General features: G+C 41.4%; 1 long non-coding RNA gene across 1 annotated transcript; it reads right to left on the bottom strand.

Moving 5' to 3' along the window:
- Positions 1–266: 266 nt before the first annotated feature.
- Positions 267–21,037, bottom strand: LINC01865 (long intergenic non-protein coding RNA 1865). The gene is made up of 4 exons (NR_146953.1): positions 20,576–21,037; positions 19,258–19,478; positions 15,505–15,639; positions 267–1,548 (listed from the first exon to the last, which is right to left on the bottom strand). It is a non-coding gene; the product is annotated as a long intergenic non-protein coding RNA 1865 (long non-coding RNA).
- Positions 21,038–21,745: the final 708 nt, after the last annotated feature.

The raw sequence follows: 21,745 nt of genomic DNA, 5'->3' as shown, positions 1-21,745 counted from the left end.
CAAAGTTTTCCACATCTTCCTGTCTTCTGAGCTCTCCAAGTCTCTAGGAAGTTCCAAACTTTCCCACATTTTCCTATCTTCTTCCGATCCTTCCAAACTCTTCCAACCTCTGCCTGTTACCCAGTTCCAAAGTCACTTCCACATTTTTGGGTATCTTTACAGCAGCACCCCACTCCCGGTACCAATTTACTGTATTAGTCCATTTTCATACTGCTGTGAAGAAATACCTGAGACTGGGTAATTTATAAAGGAAAGAGGTTTAATTGACTTACAGTTCAACATGGCTGGCTATGCCTCACAATCATGGCAAGAAGGTGAAGGAAGAGCAAAAGCATGTCTTACATTACAGCAGGCAAGAGAGCATGTTCAGGGGAACTGCCCTTTATAAAACCATCGGATCTGGTGAGACTTACTATCATGAGAACAGCACAGGAAAAATCCACCCCTGTGATTCAATTACCTCCCACCAGGACCCTCCCACAACATGTGAGGATTATGGGAGCTACAATTCAAGATGAGATTTGGGTGGGGACACAGCCAAACCATATCAGGTACATATTTTAGTTTGGTGAACATATGCATTCATGGAACTATCATACCAGTATCTGAAGGGTACATGTTGGTTTTTGGTGAAAACATGTATTCATGGAACTACCATGTCCATATCTGAAGAGTACATGTTGGGATTTGGTGAACACATGGATTCATGGAACTATCATGCCAGTATCTGAAGGGTACATGTTGGGGTTTGGTGAACACGTGTATTCAGGGCACTACCATGCCCGTATCTGAAGGGTACATGTTAGTGTGTGGTGAACACATGCATTCATAGAACTATCATACCAGTATTTGAAGGGTATATATTAGTGTGTGGGTGAACATATGCATTCATGGACCTATCATGCCAGTATCCGAAGAGTACATGTTAAGGTTTGGTGAATGCATGCATTCACGGAACTACCACTCCAGTTGTGTTAGTTTCCCATGGCAGCTTTAACAAATTACTGCAAATTTCATGGCTTAAACGAACACACATTTATGCTTACACAGTTCTGGCAGCTAAATGACCAATGGGTTTCATTGGGACAAAATCAAGGTGATGGCAGAGCCCTGCTTCTTTTGGGGGCTCTAGAGTCCATCTGCTTCCTTCCCTTCTCCAGCATCTGGAGGTCACCTCATTTATTGGCTTGGGTCCCTGAACTGCATCACCTTTTCTTTCTTGTGTCCATTGTTTTCTCATCTTCCTCCTCATCTGTCTGCAAATCTCCCTCTGCCTCCCTTTCATAAAGACACATGTGATTACATTTAGAGCTCACTGGGGTAACCCAGCATGATCCACAAATTTCAAGCTCCTTAACTTAATCACTTTTGCAAATTCCTTCATCCATGCAACATTCCCAGGTTCTCAGGATGTCTTTGGAGGCCATTCTTCAGATGACCACACTAGTCAAGATGGGTAAACATCTCTGTTGTCCCAGGACATCCCATTCTGCTCCAACTGCATCAGGAAACAGCCAGCAACTCCTGCAGACACTGAGGCTCTGGTTCCTGTCAAGACAGTGTCTGTTCTTAAACTTCCTATCAAGAGAATCATGCAATACTTACTCTTATGCCTGGGTTTTTTTTCCCGACCATATTTTTCAGATTGTGTTGTTGTGTGCAATTCCTTTATATTGCTCAGTAGTATTTTGCTGTATGTATGATTGTATCATCTTTTTAAAATCTGTTTTCAGATTGATGGGTACTTGGATTGGTTAAGTCTTTGGCAATTATGAGTAAAGCTACTACAAACATTCTTGTACAAGTATTTTTGTGGATGGTTATTTTTATACTTTTGGGGTAAATATCAGTGCAGTAAAAGAGTCATAGAGCAGGTGTATTTTTACCTTAATGAGAAAATGCCCGTTTCCAAAGTGCTTGCAAGTTCTATGGCCCTTCCTGAGCATCTGTGAGTGTTTAAGGTGCTTTGCAACCACCTCAACAATCAGTGTGGTTGAATTTTTAATCTTAGCAAATGGTATACACTATGCAAAGTGCTATCAGCTGACATTAATTACATTACCCTCATATCTAATATTTTTGATATTTTAATGTTTTTATTGAACACAAATATATTCTTTAGTGGAATATATGTATAAGTCATTGAGTCATTTGTATTTATTTATTTTTGTTTGTTGGAGCTCTATATGTTCTTTACAGAAATGTTTTGCATGATATGTGTATTATGAATATTTTCTCTAAGCCTGTTTTGCTTTTGTGTTGTCTTAATGATCTGTTTTAAATAGAAGAATTTTTAACTTTGATACAGCTTAATTTTTCAATTTGTTCCTTAGGTAAATGCCTCATTTCGTTCTCTGTAAGAATCTTTTGCCTACTCCAAGGTTGCCAGAATATTCTCCTATGTTTTCTTTTAGAAGCTTAATAGTGATAGCTTATATTTTGTATTAATCTATGAACCATAATTTACATGTGTAGTGAGAAGTAGGGATACAGGTTGCTTTTTCTCCACGTTTTCTTTCAGTTACTCCAGCACCGTCTAAAAGAAAATATTCCTTTCTCCATTTAACTTCTCTAGAACTTTTGTCAGAATTAAATTTACCTCCCATGTGGGTGTCTATTCAGTGCTTCTGCTTGTTTCATTGATGGAATGGTCCATGTGTGTACTAATATCACACTGTCTTTTTTTTTAATTTATTATTATTGTACTTTAAGTTTTAGGGTACATGTGCACAATGTGCAGGTTAGTTACATATGTATACATGTGCCTTGCTGGTGCGCTGCACCCACTGACTCGTCATCTAGCATTACGTATATCTCCCATTGCCATCCCTCCCCCCTCCCCCATCCCCCCACCCCACAACAGTCCCCAGAGTGTGATGTTCCCCTTCCTGTGTCCATGTGTTCTCATTGTTCAGTTCCCACCTATGAGTGAGAATATGCGGTGTTTGGTTTTTTGTTCTTGTGATAGTTTACTGAGAATGATGATTTCCAATTTCATCCATGTCCCTACAAAGGACATGAACTCATCATTTTTTATAGCTGCATAGTATTTCATGGTGTATATGTGCCACATTTTGTTAATCCAGTCTATCATTGTTGGACATTTGGGTTCGTTCCAAGTCTTTGCTATTGTGAATAATGCCGCAATAAACATACGTGTGCATGTGTCTTTATAGCAGCATGATTTATAGTCCTTTGGGTATATACCCAGTAATGGGATGGCTGGGTCAAATGGTATTTCTAGTTCTAGATCCCTGAGGAATCGCCACACTGACTTCCACAATGTTTGAACTAGTTTATAGTCCCACCAACAGTGTAAAAGTGTTCCTATTTCTCCATATCCTCTCCAGCACCTGTTGTTTCCTGACTTTTTAATGATTGCCATTCTAACTGGTGTACACTGTCTTTATTGCTGGAGTTCTATAGTAAGTATTGAAATTAGGTAGATTGTGTCCTGCTGTTTTGTTCTTCCTTATCAGAAGTATTTGGGTTATTCTGAGTCCTTTGCATTCCACATAAATTTTAGATTTAGCTTGTAATTTTTTTCAAAAGCATACTGTTGAGATTTTGATTGGGGTTGCATTGAATCTAAAAATCTATTTGTGGATATCTGAATTCTTAACAAGATTGAATGTCTAAATTAATGAAAATAGTTCTATCTCCATTTGCTTAGGTCTCCTTTAATTTCGCTATATATGTTTTGCTCATTTTTATAAAATATGCTCCTAAATACTTTGTTTTTTCATTCTATTAGAAATAACATTTAATCTCATTTTCCACAAGATTGATGCTATCATATGGAAGCATCAATTTTTATATTTATTTTGTGTCTTATAGCCTTGCTAAATTCACTTACTAATTCTCATAGTTATTTTGTATATTCCTTAGAATTTTTTGCATAAATAATTGTGACACTGTGAGCAAAGACAGTTTTGCTTCTTTCTTCTCAATCTATATACCTTTTTATTTCTTTTTCCTGTGTGATTGCACTGACTAAAAGCTCTGGTTCAATGTTGACTTGACATAATCAGAAAGAATATCTTTGTCTCATTCCTGACTGTAGGAGGAAAGCCTTCAGCATTTCACCATTAAATGAGCTGTAGGTTTTTCATAGATGCCCATTAACAGATTAAGGATGTTTCCTTTTATTCTATGTTTACTCTTGCTGAAAGTTTTCTTTAACATGAATGCATGTTTAATGTCATCAAATATTTTCTACATATATTACAATGATCGTATCATTTTTCTTCTTTATTCTGTTAACATACTGATTTTTACTGATAGATTTTCAAATATTAAATCAACCTTGTATTCCTGGGATATATCCCACTTGATAATGATCTTTTATCCTTTTATTTGCCAGTATTTTGTTACAAGGCTTTTGAGATTATGTTCCTGGAGAATAATGCCTTTGTCATGTTTGGTATCAGGGCTGCGTGGGCTCACAGAATGTACTGCAACGTGTCCTCTACTGTCCTCTACTCTGTCAGAGTTTAAGTTTCTGTTATTCCTTCCAGCATTATTCTAGATAGCGCCACCTAGACTCAAAGCATCTTTATGGCAAGGTTGTTTTTATAAGCTTCAATATCCTTTAATACAAAGGTTCAAATTTTTTACTAGACATATGGTTATTCAAATTTTTAACATATTTTTGTGCCATTTTTATTAAGTTGTATGTCAAGGAATTTCTCCATTTTCTCCAAGTTATCAAATTTACTGGAATAATTTTGTTCATAATATTCCCTCATAATATTTCTAAATTTTTGTAGAAATTGCAGTGAGATCTGCTTTTTTATTTCTGATGATAGTAAGTTTGCATTTTCCCATTTTTCTTGATTGGTATTTCTAGAGGCTTGTATTTTTTTTTCTGTTCAAAGAACCAACTTACAGTATTTATAATTGTCTTTATTGTTTACATTTCTCTATTTTACTTATTTCAGCTCTTTATTATTTATCTTATTCTATTTATTTGGGTTTAATTTTTTTCTTTTTCTAGTTCCTTAGGTGGAAATATAGAATACATTTATTGTTATTTTCTAATATCAGCATTAAAAGCTCTGGATTTTCTTATAAACACTGGTATTGCTATGTTTATTTTCATAGAGTTCAAATATTTGTAAAAATGTTTCTAGGGCTTTCATCCTTTTCCCGTGAGTTATTAAAAATGTGTTTATTTAATTTCCAAGAATTTGGGTGTTTTCTAGATTTGGGGGCAGTTGTATCAATTTCTGAGAAACGATGTTAAAAATCTTCACCATAATTTTGTATTTGGCTTTTTCTCCTATTCATTCTATCATGTTTCTTTCATTTATTTTGAGGCACTATATTTAGCTACCTACATCACTAATGATTATTTGGTCTTCCTACAAACTTGAAGTTTTTATAACCATTAAACACTCCTTTTTATTTCTTGTAATAATTCCTGCATTTAAGTCTACATTGTCTGGTACTAATATAGCCAATTTAACTTTCTTATATTGATTGCCTGGTATTTTTTTTTCATCATTTTACTTTCAACTTATGTTTCTTTATATTTAAAGTCTCTTGCAGGCAACATGTAATTAAGTCTTACATTTTTATTCAGTCTGACAATCTCTGCAATTTAATTGTAATATTTGGCCCATTTACAATTACCATAATTATTGATATAGTTGGGTTTCCAACTTGGAATCTTAAGACTGGCATGCGAATGAAGCTAAGCTATCTTGATAAGTGAAAAAACAGATGGTGAATAAATAAAAAACCTCAGCTAATAATTAGCTAACCCCTGGCCAACACCCTGCCAAACACCAGACTCTTAAGTGAGGCCATCCTACATCATGCATCAGCTGCCCCCAGCCACCAACAGACCTGCCAACTATCCACTGAATGAAAGAGCCCTCCAGAGAGTGGCCGAAGAACCACCTGTCTAACCTACATAATTGTGAGCTGAATACAATGACTATTATTTTAACTACTAAGTTTTGAAGTCATTTGTTACCTAGCCAAAATTAGCTGATACACTATCTCACTGACTACTGTTCAATTAATTGACTAATTTAATTATACTTTCCTCTGATTATCCCACCTCTAATTTAGTCCAAATTTTTTTTTGCCTGATAAATTTCCCACATTATGGATCTATCAAAAAATCTGTCAAGCCCACTTTTTGATTAAAAAAAATTTTTCCTAAATTTCACTTAGTGGATGATTTGAGATTGTTTGAGATTGTTTGATGTCTAAGACTTCTTCCCATATTTGAGAGATGACATGTTTTCTCAGATCATCACACTTTACCTACCTAAGCTTTCATTCTAATAATTAGGAGCCCTATTTTTCTTTTACTATATTTACTCATCCTTTACCTTTCCCATCCTTTCAAAAACGTATCTTCAATATTTTATCAATTATAGCACCTTACCTAGGCAACCAAAACTCTCACTCATGTCTACAATTGAATCAGTACTTAGGTAGGGACTATAGTGTTGCTAAGAATTAATGGCCCTGAAAATCAAAATACATGGGAATACTTGTATATTTATATATGGTCATCCTGAAAATATTCCAGGGAAAGAATGAGACCCTTTAAAAAGTGTTGCTGGTCATCAACCCACAAATATGTCTAAACATAGTAAGTTTGTGGATATAGGTCATGGGCACATTGTCGTCAATATATGTCACTGATGAGAAAAACTAGCTCTCAAGCTTACTTCCATCCTACAGATAAATCAGGATATAAACTGAGAACTTTGCCACAGCCAGTGCAGAGGGCACTCAACTGCAGTCACATGCTATCAATACTGGTGAGAGTCCCATGTTCTTGCTGATTATGGCATAAAACAAGATTTTGCACAAAAATGCATTTATCATTTTATTTTATATATATATATGTATATATGTATATGTATATATAAATTTCCATGTTACTAACATATTTGGAGCCCCAGAATAATTTTTTACTATAAAATTCAGGGTGCCTGAGAAACAGCTCCAAACACCAGAATATGAGGTATTGCTGTTGGCTAAACTATATTTGTTTTCATGCCCTCGCATTCTCAAAGCACAATGTTTTATTTATGGGAACTCTATATAAAACTTGGAAAATTAAACAAAAACAAACAGATATGGTTTGAGTCATGGGAGTTCAAAAATTACCAGCTCAAAATGTGTTCATGGGACCTTCATGACTCTCATCTTTTAAAACAATATCATGATAGACGTGGCAAAGATACTTAATACATGCCACCAATCCCACACCATCACTCCACTTTTGATATGTTTCTCTTGGACCTGACATAGCAAGAGAGAGTTCCAGGTTCAGCAGGAGGCATCCCAAGGGTGTGGAAAATAAGAAACCATGAAACTTGGTACATCTGGAAACATTGAGCTGTATGTTGCAAGACAGGGGTGGAGAAGTTGACAGAGGCCTATAAGTAATCTTTGCCAGCCAATTTGGCTCTATGAAGAAATATCTCTTCATCCATCTTCTTCTCATGATAGCTGTTGGGCATAACTATGGAACTTCAGAACTTAAGCTAAGTTCAGCAAGCAGAGATTCATTTTCATATTTACCCTCATAGATTCTAAAACACCCAATAATTGTTTTAGGTATTCTAATTATTTATATAACCCTGTAAAGTCTAGAGACCTGCATAGAAGGACTGAAGGTAGAGACAATGTCGCCTAGCTGCACAGGATCAGTTTAAACCATTTTTAGAATCTTGTTCTAGGTACCAAATGCCAATCTGCAAAACTCTTAGAGAGCCTGGGAACCCATGCTTAACCAAAAAATCCACACAAGAACACAAAAGCTCCATCTAAAGGAAAGATGTTTCCTGACAGCACGCTCTCTCTGAGCTCAGCAGTTGCTGTTCTCTGACACTGATGTCCACTCATCTGGTCATGTGGCTTACTCTCCTCTGCATATCCTTCTTTCCCTCCATTTTCTCCCAAAATGTAGAGAATGACAAAAGACATAAAAAACAAATGTGGGCCCTGGGACATGAAGAGGACAGAAATGAAACACTTTATCCTTCACACAAATGTCTATAAATTTCTGAAATAAGTTGGCTTTTTCACACCAGCACTATCAAGATTTTGTAGAAACACCACACGGATGGAAGGAGGAAGACAGAAGCGGAGGAGATAAAAAAAAATGGCAGACAGGAGGCAGGATTAACTTGCAGCTCCCACTCGGATGAACAGAACAGCATGTGGAGACCCACATTGTGAACTTTTGCTCCAAGAACTACTGCAAAAACATACCAAGAAAGCCGAGAGAATCCACAGACTCTTTAAAGGAGGTGGATTGCTGCTGCAGGCTCCATGGAACATCTGAGGAACTGTGAGTCTGCTTGCTTTCTCAGCGGGAGGCTTGTAGCCTGGGGCAAGTTCTCAGCCCTGCTCACCAGCTGCCTAGAAATAAACTCAGTGCTTTTGTGAGGCACAGCGTGAGTGAGACTAGCCTTTCAAGCTGTGGGCTGTGTAAAAGCTGGGTGAGGCTTGGCTGCTGGCATTCACCCACCTCCATGGCAGCCTGTGTGATACAACAGAGATGGCCCCTGGGAACATAACTCCATTGGCCTGGGAACCACACCCCTGTCCCCCACAGAAGCCACAGCAAACCCCGCCCAAGAAGAGTCTGAGCTCAGACATGCCTAACTCTGCCCCCACGTGATGGTCTTTCTCTACCAGCCCTGGTAGCCATAGAAAAAGGACATAATATCTTGGGCTCTCTATGGCTCCATCCACCACCTGATCTTCCCTATACTACCACAGCTGATGTGCTCTTGAAAGCACCACCTCCTTGACGGAGGCCAACCAACACACAACCAGCACACTTAACAAAAATACAACCAAGGACCCCTCACAGAGCCCACTTCAGCCCCCTGCTACCTCCACTGGAGCAGGTGCTGGTATCCATGGCTGAGAGACCTGAAGACAGATCACATCACAGGGCTCTTTGCAGACACTCCGCAGTACCAAGCCAGAGCCCAGTAACTTCACTGGGAGGCTAGACCCAGAAGTGAAATAACAATCACTTCAGTTCAGCTCTCAGGAAGCCCCATCCCTAGGCAAAAGGGGAGAGCACCACCTCAAGAGAATACCCTGTAGGACAAAAGAATCTGTACAGTAGCCCTTGAGTCCCAGATCTTCCCTCTGACATAGTCTACCCAAATGAGAAGGAACCAGAAAAACAATTCCGGTAATATGACAAAGCAAGGTTCTTTAACAGCTCCAAAAGATCACACTACCTCACCAAGCAACGGATCCAAACCAAGATGAAATCTCTGAATCACCAAAAAAAGAATTCAGAAAGTCGACTATTAAGCCAATCAAGGAGGCACCAGAGAAAGGTGAAGTCCAACTTAAATAAATTTTTTTAAAAAAAGATACAGGATATGAATGAAAAATTCTCCAGTGAAATAGATAGCATAAATAAAAAAACAATCACAACTTCTGGAAATGAAAGACACAGAGGATTGCAAAATGCACTGGAAAGTCTTGGCAATAGAATTGAACAAGTAGAAGAAAGAACTTCAGAGCTTGAAGGCAAGACATTTAAATTAACCCAATCCAACAAAGACAAAGACAAAAAATTTTTTAAATGAACACAGTCTCCAAGAAGTTTGGGATTATATTAAACAACCAAACCTAAGAATAATTGGTGTTCCTGAGGGAGAAGAGAAATCTAAATGTTTGGAAAACATATTTGAGGGAATAATCAAGGAAAACTTCCCCAGCCTTGCTAGAGACCTAGACATCCAAATATAGGAAGCTCAAATAACACCTGGGAACCTCATCACAAAAAGATCATTATCTAGGCACGTAGTCATCAGGTTATCTAGAGTCAAGATGAAAGAAAGAATCTTAAGAGCTGTGAAGCAAAAGTATCAGGTAACCTGCAAAAGAAACCATATCAGAATAACAGCAGATTTCTTAGGAGAAACCCTACAAGCTATTATAGAAAGGATTGGGGTCCTATCTCTAGCCTCCTTAAACAAAACAATTATCAACCAAGAATTTTGTATCCAGCAGAACTAAGCTTCATAAATGAAGGAAAGATACAGTCTTTTTCAGACAAACAAATGCTGAGAGAATTCGCCACTACCACACCAGCAGTATGAGAACTGATAAAAGGAGCTCTAAGTCATGAAACAAATTCTTGAAATACACCAAAATAGAATCTCCTTAAAGCATAAATCTCACAGGACCTATAAAACAACAACAGAATGGAGGAAAAAAAAAAAACAGGTATTGAGGCAACAAATAGCAAAACGAATAGAATAGTACCTCACATCTCAATACTAACATTGAATGTAAATGGCCTAAATGCTCCACTTAAAAGATACAGAATGGCAGAATGAATAAGAATTCACCAACCAAGCATCTGCTGTCTTCAAGAGACTCACCTGACACATCAGGCTGACATAAACTTAAAGTAAAGGGGTGGAAAAAGATATTCCAGGCAAATAGACACCAAAAGCAAGCAAGAGTAGCTCTTCTTGTATCAGACAAAACAAACATTAAAGCAACAGTAATTAAAAAGACAAAGAAGGACATTATATAATGATAAAAAGGACTAGTCCAACAGAAAAATATCACAATCCTAAACATACATGCACCTAACACTGGAACTCCCAAATTTATAAAACAATTATTACTAGACCTAAGAGATGAGATAGATAGCAACAAAATAATAGTGGGGGTCTTCAATACTCCATTGACAGCACTACACAGATCATCAAGACATAAAGTCAACAAAGAAACAATGGACTTAAACTATATCCTAGAAGAAATGGACTTAACAGATATTTATGGAACATTCTACCCAACAACTGCAGAATATACATTCTATTCATCAGCACATGGAACATTTTCCAAGATAGACCATATGATAGGCCACAAAACAAGTCTCAACTAATTTAAGAAAATCAAAATTATAGCAAGTAGTATCTCAGACCACAGTGGAATAAAACTGAAAATCAACTCGAAAAGGAACCCTCAAAACCATGCAAATGTATGGAAATTAAATAACCTGCTCCCAAATGATCATTGAATCAACCATGAAATCAAGATGGAAATTAAAATATTCTTTGAACTGAATAATAGTGACACAACTGCAGCACTCAAAGGAAAGCTCATAGCACTAAAGGCCTACATCAAAAAGTCTGAAAGAGCACAAATAGGCATTCTAAGGTCATGCCTCAAGGAGCTAGAGAAACAAAAACAAACCAAACCCAAACCAGCAGAAGAAAAGATATAACCAAGATCAGAACAGAACTAAATGATATTGAAAAAAAAAAATACAAAAGGTAAATGAAACAAAAAGCTGGTTCTTTGAAAAGACAAATAAAATTGACAGGCCATTAGTGAGATTAACCAAGAAAAGAAGAGAGAAGATCCTAACAAGCTCAATTAGCAATGAAATGGGAGATGTTACAATCGATACCACAGAAATACAAAAGATCACTCAAGGCTACTATAAACACCTTTACATGCATAAACTAGAAAACCTAGAGGAGATGGATAAATTCCTGGAAATATACAACCCTCTTAGATTTAACCAGGAGGAAATAGAAACTCTGAATAGACCAATAACAAGCAGCAAGATTGAAATGGTAATTAAAAAGTTACTAACAAAAAACAGTCCAGGACCAGACGGATTCATAGCTGAATTATATCAGACATTCAAAGAATTGGTATCGATCCTACTGACATTATTCCAAAAGATAAAGAAAGAGAGAATCCTCCCTAAATCATTTTATGAAGCCAGTGTCACCCTAGTACCAAAAGCAGGAAATGACATAGCAAAAAAAGAAAACAACAGATCAATATCCCTGATGAACATAGATGCAAAAATCCTCAACAAAATACTAGCTAACTGAATCCAACAGCATATCAAAAAGATAATTTACTGTGATCAAGTGGATTTTATACCACAGATGCAGGGATGGTTTAACATCCACAAGTCAATAGATGTGATACACCACATAAACAGAATTAAAAACAAAAATCACATGATCATCTCAATAGACACAGAAAAAGCATTTGACAAAATCCAGCATTCCTTTAGGATTAAAACCTACAGCAAAATCAGCATAAAAGCTACATACCTTAAGATAATAAAATATGTCTATGACAAACCCACAGCCAACATTATACTGGAAGGGGAAAAGTTGAAAGCATTTCCCCTGAGAACTGGAACAAGACAAGGATGCCTACTTTTACCACTTCTATTCAACATAGCACAAGAAGTCTTAGCCAGAGCTTAGACAAGAGAAAGAAATAAAGGGCATCCAAATCGGAAAAAAAGAAGTCACACTGTTGCTGTTTGCTGATGACACGATCATATACCTAGAAAACCCTGAAGACTCATCCAAAAAGCTCCTAGAACTGGCAAATGAATTCAGCAAAATCACTAAAACAGCACGGTACTGGTACAAAAAAAAAGACACATAGACCAGTGGATCAGAACAGAGAACCCAAAAATGAAGCCAAATGCTTACAGTCAACTGATCTTCCACAAAACAAAAATATAAAGTGGGGAAAGGATATTCTATTCAACAAATGATGCTGGGATAATTGGCAAGTCACATGTAGGAGAATGAAATCAGATCCTCATCTCTCACCTTATACAAAAATCAACTAAAGATGGATCAAAGACTTAAATCTAAGAACTGAAACTATAAGATTTCTAGAAGATAACATTGGGAAAACCCTTCTAGACATTTACTTAGGCAAAGACTTAATGACCAAGAACCCAAAAGCAAAAGCAACAAAAACAAAGATAAATAGATGGGACTTAATGAAACTAAAAAGCTTCTGCACAGTAAAAGAAATAGTAAGCAGAGTAAACAGCCAACCCACAGGTGGGAGAAAATCTTTGCAAACTATGCATCTGACAAAGGACTAATATCCAGAATCTACAACAAACTCAAACAAATCAGCAAGAAAAAAAAATCCCATCAAAAAGTGGGCTAAGGAAATGAATAGACAATTCTCAAAAGAAGATGTACAAATAGCCAACAAACATATGAAAAAAATGCTCAACATCACAATGATCAGGGAAATGCAAATCAAAACCACAATGAGATACCACCTTACTTCTGCAAGAATGGCCATAATCAAAAAATAAAAAAATAATAGGTGTTGGCATGGATGTGGTAAAAAGGGAACAGTTTTACACTGTTGGCAGGAATGTAAACTAGTACAACCACCATGGAAAACAGTGTGAAAATACCTTAAAGAACTAAAATTCCTTAAAGAACCACAGTTTGATCCAGCAATCCCACTCCTGGGTATCTACCCAGAGGAAAAGAAGTTATTATATGAAAAAGATACTTGTACATGCATGTTTATAACAGCATAATTTGCAATTGCAAAAATATGGAACCAGCCCAAATGCCCTCAATCAATGAGTGGATAAAGAAAATGTTGTATATATGTGTATATATTATGGAATACTATTCAGTCACAAAAAAGAACGAAATAATGGCATTTGCAGCAATCTGGATGGAATTGGAGACCATTATTCTAAGTGAAGTAACCCAGAAATGGAAAACCAAATATCGTTTGTTTTCACTCATCAGTGGGAGCTCAGCTATGAGGATGCAAAGGCATAAGAATGATACAATGGACTTTGGTGACCTGAGGGAAAGGGTGGGAGGGGGGTGAGGGATAAAACACTACACATTGGGTATGGGGTACATGGCTTGGGTGATGGGTGCACCCAAATCTCAGAAATCACCACTAAAGAACTTATTCATGTAACCAAACACCACCCATTCCCCAAAAACCTATTGAAATAAAAAAAAAATAGAATCTGAGCACACACATACACACAAATAAATAAATACATTTTTAAAAAGTGAAAAAAAGAAAGAAAGAAACAGCACACTGCATTGGTATGAGCACCGCACCAGAGCAGGAGATCACGTCGGAGCCTCTGTCTGCCTGCCACACCCTGCTCAAAAACAACAACTACAAAAAAAAGAAGACTCCAAAAAAGAATAGAGGTCTCTAAGGTTTCCTTGTAGCGCTAAAGGTTTCTGTTCTCAATGCCTGTTGTGTCCAGCCTGCCTCAGGGCTCAGAAGGCTGCCTGGGAGGAGCCGACCCCTCTCTGTCCAGAACAGCTCAGTGCCGTTCGTAACTGAAGGAGCCATGAGACACCATCATTGTCACTGAGATGCTCATCTGGGAAGCTGACTCACAGGTTCTTTCTGTAAAGCACCAAGGACAGTTTGTTGAAGAGAACCTGAGAATTCTAGTTGAAATTCGTGGGAATCGACTTCTGAAGAAACCTAGTGCTATAAGGGACAAACAAACAAAAAGGCCCTCAAGTGTCTGGCCTTGAAGCATCTAGAGACTTCAAAGAACTGACTGCTGAGTGGAGTGTTCCTGGGAGGCCGGTGACATGAGTGGTGACAGGCCAGGTGTGGGTGGCGAGTTTACACTGCCCGGTGTAGCTTAGAAAAGGGAAGGGAACATGAGCGTGTCAGCAGGGTCCGCAGGGTCCTGCAGCAGGAAGACAGTCTTCCCATAGCTGATCACCCCTTTAAAGTAGGTTTGCCACTCCATCTTGAGATTCTCATCCTTCTCACCAGTTTCCCAAAGTAGCAACACGTTTTCCCTATCTGTTTGCTTCATGTGATCTCAAAATCAAAGTATCACATGCGCAACGCCCTTCCTTCTGCATGCTCTCGACCAAGAGCTCCCTGGAGCAGGGCAGTCCTGGTGAGCCTGCCCTGTGTCTTACAGCGGTATTTATAATGGCCAATCCTCAGGATGGGCCCACTTTCCCACGCACCCTCCTTGTCACATGGCTCCTCTCGCCTCTCTTGCCACCCGGCTGCTTCCTGGAGGTGCAGCAAGTGAAGGTGGGCGTGATGACTGAGACAGGTTTTATACTAATCTTTTTAGATCCAAAGTAAATGTGTTTTAATGTCTAAACATTAATATTACTTTAGATGCTTAATATACTTTTAAATTTATTTTATGGCACGGCTACTAGCCTGAAAGAGAAACACCACACTACCTGCTGCATTGGAAAAGAGGATAAATTACTACCAATTGTTCCTTTAGGTCAGACACCAGGTTAAACATTTTTCATTTATGAGCTAACTTCATGTACACAATTACCCTACATGATAGGGACTCTTGTTCCTGTTTTGCAGACAAGGAAGCTGAAATGTAAAACTTGCCTAGGGTCACATAGTCTGAATACAACTCTGGGATTCTGACTCCAAAGCCACATCCCTCCTGCTCCTCCCCACCTGCCCCACTCACATCCTTCTGTCCCCCTGAGCGCATCCTCTGCCATCCATGGCTTCCTTCTATCTGGGGACAAAAAAGCCTCTCTTTATGCCTGGCCAGACATCGCAGATGAGTATGGTAAAAAATGACCTTATACATCACAGTTGACCTTTTTGCATGATTTGCCATAGGTGGAGTGGGTGGAACCTGTACACACATTTCCATCTTTCACCTGTGGGATTCAAGAACTGTAGAGAACAGTGATTTACCCATGCTTTTTGTCAGTAGCAAAGCTAGGATCGATCTGCTTCTCAGTCTCCGTCTCTGTGATCACCCACAAGCCAAGTCCTACTCCAGCCACACACAGGACACAGGCATCCACACAGGGGGCAGAGCACACTTCCCTGAAAGCAAATGGTGTAAGTATTGGTATGTATCGCCTGAATGAGACTTTTATGCAACTTATTTTACCTTATCTTTTCAAATCCAAAGTAAGTGTGTTTTAATGTCTACACATTAATATTATTTTAGATGCTTAATATACTTTTAAATTTCTTTTGTGGCATGGCTATCAGATTGTCTATAAATATAGGTTAAAATGTTCTACCAAAAGTATTATTACGTAGGCCATGGAACCTCATGAATTGTCTCAACTCTTGCCTAAAACGTCAGCGCTGGGTGATTTCCCAGTTGCAGGGACTCTGTGACTCCGATAGAGCTCTGGGCTTTTGGGTCCATGTCACTGGGGTTCATTATCCAGCACCCACGGGTGAGCGGGACCCTGGGCTTTCAGGGTCATTTCACTGAGATTCATTATCCAGCATCCACGAGTGAGCACGACCCTGGGCTTTCAATGCTGTGTAACTGGGGTTCATTATCCACACCCGCAGATAATATATCTGTGTGTCTCGGGCTGTGCTGGTCACCAGAAAAATGAGAAGTGAGATGGGATCCTTGTCTGTTGAGGGCTCGGGGCTGAGTGGAAATCTATCCCATTTAGCCTGGTCCATGGCTCCAGCTGCAGACATGGTCCCCGTCACTGCAGATGGAGCGGAAGCTGACATCTGTGCTGCAGGACAGAGCATCTCCACATGGGCTACCTCGCACTGGCTGTCAGGAAGACCTGAATGTCTAGAGGTTTTCTCTCCCCAGTCTTTTTCTCTCTTGCTGTGGCCTTTGCCTTTCTCAGCAATGTGCAGAGCTTCTGAATTGACAGGCTTAAGAGATGAATATGGGTCTAAGCCAGCAACAGTTTTGATCGCCCATTGTGACTAACCTCACATCACCTGATGACAATTTCCACAGCAGCCTCTCCAGAGCCACTTCCGAGAAGGATGTGGTCAAGATCAGCATCCATTAGTTGGTACCTACAACCAGGCAGGTACAATTCAGATGTCACATTGCACCCAGGACCAGCAGGCTAGGTTTGACTGGGGCGAAAGCATGAGCCCCATTGACTGGGGTGAAAGCATGAAACCTCCCTGTGAAAAGCGCTCAGAGATGAAGAGAGGATGTGGGGAGCAGCCCATGGCAGCTGGCATCACTCTGTGAAGTCAGGAGGCACCTGCTCATCCAGGAATACAGACGCAGTGCCCCAGGCCCACCAGGCAAACCAAGTTGGAGCAGAGATGTAGAAGCCTAGGGAAAAAATGTTTTCTGCTTTTGTTTCTTTATTTTACGTGATGATAAATGGGGGAAGAGAAAGAGTGGCCCAAGTTTATAGAAAAGAGTTGGGATTCCTATTACTAAAGGCTTGCTAATTCTTTTTTCTTTCTTTTATAAAAAAAAAATAACAATCAAACTTTTAAAATATATCCATGGATGGAATGAAAGGTACAAAGCGGTGCGGTAGACAGTTTCTCAGCACACCTCTACGTGGCCAGCCCCTCCCTGGAGTCACCACGGCACTGCCTGGCGCTTTTCCTCCAGACCAGGCCTTGCTCGCTGAATCCTAAACCCAGGAAGAGCATCCCAGGCTCTAGGTCCTGCCGTAACCAGCATGGATCAGGAGTTCCCACCGGAAATTTACCTCTTAAAAACTTAGCAGTGAGCTGTGACCACACCACTGCACTCTAGCCTAGGCGAGAGAGTGAGACCCTGTCTCAAAAAAAAAAAAAAAAAAAAAAACTACACTAAAAGTTTTCCTTCCCTGAGCTCTCCTCCTCCACTGTGTAGCTGAGAACTTTGAACATGAAGGAGGCGGTGACCCCACCTGCCTTTAATTAAAAGCTCAGTCCCACCGCACAGCACCCTTAGACAACAACTTCTTCAGGATGTTTGAAGTGTCAAGTCCAATCTAAAATGGAACCCGCATTCTAATCTCCGTTTCCTAATGAGCACATGCTGCGTTGACTGCACGTGAGGTCCAAGGTGAAGGGGGTGTGGGCCCCGGATGTGCCGGCTCAAATCAAGCAACCCTGTGGCAGGTGTGGGGAGTGGCTGTACCCCTCCAGCCTCCCTGCAAGCATAGCACCGGCTGTTTACATCTTGGTGCTGTTCTGTCACTTACTAAGCCACCAGGGGAGATGAAACATTCTAGCTTTGGTGGTGCACAAGTGAGCGCCAGCTGTTTACATCTTGGTGCTTTCTGCCTGCACACACGCCCACACACACACGTGCCCGCACACACGCCTGCACACACCCGCGCACACACCCCCACACACCCGCACACACGTGCCTGCACACACGCCTGCACACACCCACGCACACACCCACACACACCCACACACACATCCGCACACACGCCCACACACACACACCCGCATACACGTGCCCAGGCACACACGTGCCCACACACACGTGCCCCCACACGTTTCCGCACACACCCACACACACGTGTCCACACACACACGGCCGCACACATGCCTGTGCACACACGACACACACACGCCCACACACGCCCACACACATACGCCCACACACATGCCCACACACACGCCCACACACGTGCCCACGCACACAGCCGCACACACGCCTGTGCGCACACACAGACACACTCACACGCCCACTCACATGCCCGCACACACATGCCCACACTCACGTGCCCACACACGCCCACACACACACGCCCACACACACGCCCGCACACACAGGGCCACACACGACACGCACACACACCCATGCACACACGCCTGCACACACGCCTGCACGCACGCCTGCACACGTGCCCGCACACACACCCGCACACATGCACACCCGTGCACACACACCCGCACACACACAACCACACACACACACACACACATGCCCAGCAGATGTCTTCTACTAGCAGGGGAACGTGGGCAGCGAGGCCTGTCTCCTGTGTTCCTAAAATGTGGACACACGAGGGCACATCTTTGCCGGCCTCCCTCGCCACTCAGCCACGTGGGCTCAGCAGCGAAGCTCACCGCCTTCACTCACATTCACACTCGCGTTTATTGAGAGCAAGTGAATAAACGTGTTCTGATATTGCACTGTAACTGGTTAGTTCTTTTTCAAAAAGAGGGATAATTCAGTATTTTATTATTTCTGCTTATTGAAACAGGCTCTTTTTTGGCTGACACCAGATTGTACAAGCATCTGCTTGTTGCTCCATTCCGAAAGCAATGTGAAAATCTGGTTTCTTAGTTTTTCCTCATATTATCACTATTACAACCATGGCTTGGATTTCAGATTCATGCATCCCTAAGCTTGGAGGTCCATGTCTGGTGAAGCTGATTAGCTGCAGGGCAACAGGAACTGGATCCTCGGGGATAACAAGAAAGAACCAGTCTCTTTAGAAACACAGAAAAACTTTTTGCCAAAATGACAGACAAGTTCTCCTGAAACTGAGAAAGTGTGTGTGTCACCCTGACACCACATCCCGTCTCTGACTCATCAAGTGTTTCTCCTGCAATCCCCCTGTTGAAAGCTGGTGCAAGGGGCTGTGAGAAGCTGGGAGCCTCCAGGCGAAGCCCAGCTCCTGCCAGACCCTGATGCAGCCGTAACCATCACAGCACCATCGCGGCAGCCCTGACCTGGCCAATGTCCTTCCACCCTCTTACCTGAACCCCAGTGTCCGGGCCGGGACAGGAGACAGACTCTCAGCTTCCGGTCCTTAGAAGCTCCCTTCTGCTTCCATATCCAGGTCATTGTCACACAGTACAAAGCCTCTGCCACCAGCAGGGCCGAGAGCTGCGGGCTCTGATGTTCGTCCCATCATATAAATGTGTTCATCAAACTAAAGCCTCAGACTTTCCTCTTTTGTGTGGGCTGACAGCTCTGACTGTACAAGAGAAAACGGTTTTGCCAAAAAGTGAAAAATACCATTTACTTGGGAGAATGGTGAGTCATTCTAACTGAATTTGCACGGAGCCTGCAGGGGTCCTACAGGACAGAGGTCAAGGAGGTCATGCTGCCTGCCGGGGTCATGTGCTAATTAGTGGAACAGCTGGGACCAAAACCTGCCTTGAATGAGGCGAGCTGTGCAGAGCCGCTGGGTCAAGACCCGGCTCCACCGCGCTCAGGAAACGAGTCTGCATCTCTCTCGCCGCTCAAGCGCCGCCTCCTACAACACTCCTCCCTGACTCAGCTCGACAAAACTCGTCCATTTTCCACTATTCAGGGAGTTAAATTAAATTTCTTATCACTTGTTTCAGCCACACTGGCCCATGCCGGGCAGCTCAGGACCATCCAGGCCTCCCTCAGGCCACCTACATTCAAGTTTCCGAGGATGCTCTCAGACCAAGGTGGGCGGTGACCCTCATGCACCCCCTATTTCCGCCCCATAACCATCTATTCAGCAATGAGACAAAAATCCCATCTGAACTCTATTCCATAATATGCAAAGCATATGCCCTAAGTTACAAGCGCTATTCAGTTTTCATACAGGAAACACTGTCTGGGTCCCCATAACAAATAGACACACTCTGGGCCTACCCTGTCTTTTGGTGAGTGCTTGCTGGTTGTCCTAATAAGAGAATCTTCCTCTCGGAATATTAACTGCTATTTTTATTAATGAGGCTCTTCTGAACAGTCTTTCTGCAATAACCATTGTAACACTGTTTAAATAGCTTTTTGTGTTAAGACAGGGCCTTCAATATCACCTAAGTAAACCATTTTGATTTAAAGATAATTAAAAACCTTTCTGATGGAAAATTTTCCCCAATGTCCTGTTTAAAATTTCCACTCTTGGTCAAATGAAGTAAATGAATTGATTTAACCATTAAAAGTATTTATTGAGTATCTGCCATGTTTCAAACATTCAGCTAAACAGAGCAGTCTATCAGAAACACAGTAGGTGCATTCCAGTCTCACCACACAGCTTTGCTGACCCCACAGCCCCCCAGGTGCTTGCTGGCATCCTAGCCTGTGGGCACTGACCTGCTGCCATGGCCAAAAGCCGCGTATCCTCAAGAGAACACGAGAGAGCATTGCGAGGGATGCATTCTTGGGAGAAGGTGAAGAACACCGCGAGGGACGTGCTAGAAGCTGCTGGCCTGTTTTCAACCCACAGCCCCAAGAGCCACTGGCTCGAGACTCCTGGGCTGAGGGGCCACGGGGCCACCCCTCTGCCTTCCCGCACCCTGCGCACTGCACGGCTGTCCACTTTGCAGCCTTGGTTGCACTTTCTCCAGCTACTTGCTGTGGAAACTATAATAAAGTTTAGTCTTGAAGGCACTGGGTAACCTCTGTTTTATGGTTTTTAAAAAATCATTCCTCTTCTTTCTCCTCTCCTCAATTCAAAGACACCTGTTTCATGAAGACCAAGTGAGAAAATTAGTTAAGTGTTAAATAAATGCATGTAGAAACTGTATTAGTCTGTTTTCATGCTGCTGATAAAGACATACCCAAGACTGGACAATTTACAAAAGAAAGAGGTTTAATTGGACTCACAGTTCCACGTGGCTGGGGAGGCCTCCAAACATGGCAGAAGGCCAGGAGGAGCAAATCACGTCATACGTGGATGGCAGCAGGCAAAGAGAGAGCTGTGCATGGAAACTCCCGTTTTTAAAGCCATCAGATCTCGTGAGACCCATTCACTACCATGAGAACAGCATGGGAGAGACCCACCCCTGTGATTCAATCATCTCCCACCAGGTCCTTCCACACACGTGAGGATTATGGGAGCTACAAGATGAGATTTGAGTGGGGACACAGAGCCAAACCATATCCAAGAACAAATACACTAAAAGCCAAAACCAAAGCAACCTCTAAGCCTGACAAGTCAGCTGTCCAGGGGCCACTGCCCCCCCACACCCAGAGAAGCTTCCTGGTGGCAGTGAGATGCCTCCAGGACAGGGGACCAGAAGACAGGAGGGTCTGGCCACGGTGGTGAGGGACCCCCAGCAGGTGTCTGGGCTGCAGACAGACGCCTCAATGTTTTCAACTTGGGGAACAGAGCCACACCGTCAAGAGAGACAGCCTTTCACTCACTGCAGCCAAGCCTCTCCGTACCTTCCCAGTCAGCAGCAGTTGTTTCAAGAGATTTCGAAGAAGAAACAGGTTCGACCTCGATGCCAGCTCTACACAGCAGTGACAGAATAGCCCCAA

This window comes from Homo sapiens, chromosome 2 (genome assembly GCF_000001405.40).
Source record: "Homo sapiens chromosome 2, GRCh38.p14 Primary Assembly".
Taxonomy (NCBI): Eukaryota; Metazoa; Chordata; class Mammalia; order Primates; family Hominidae; genus Homo; species Homo sapiens.
The sequence above is the reverse complement of the archived record's forward strand: the minus strand, read 5'-3'. Positions and strand labels throughout refer to the sequence as shown.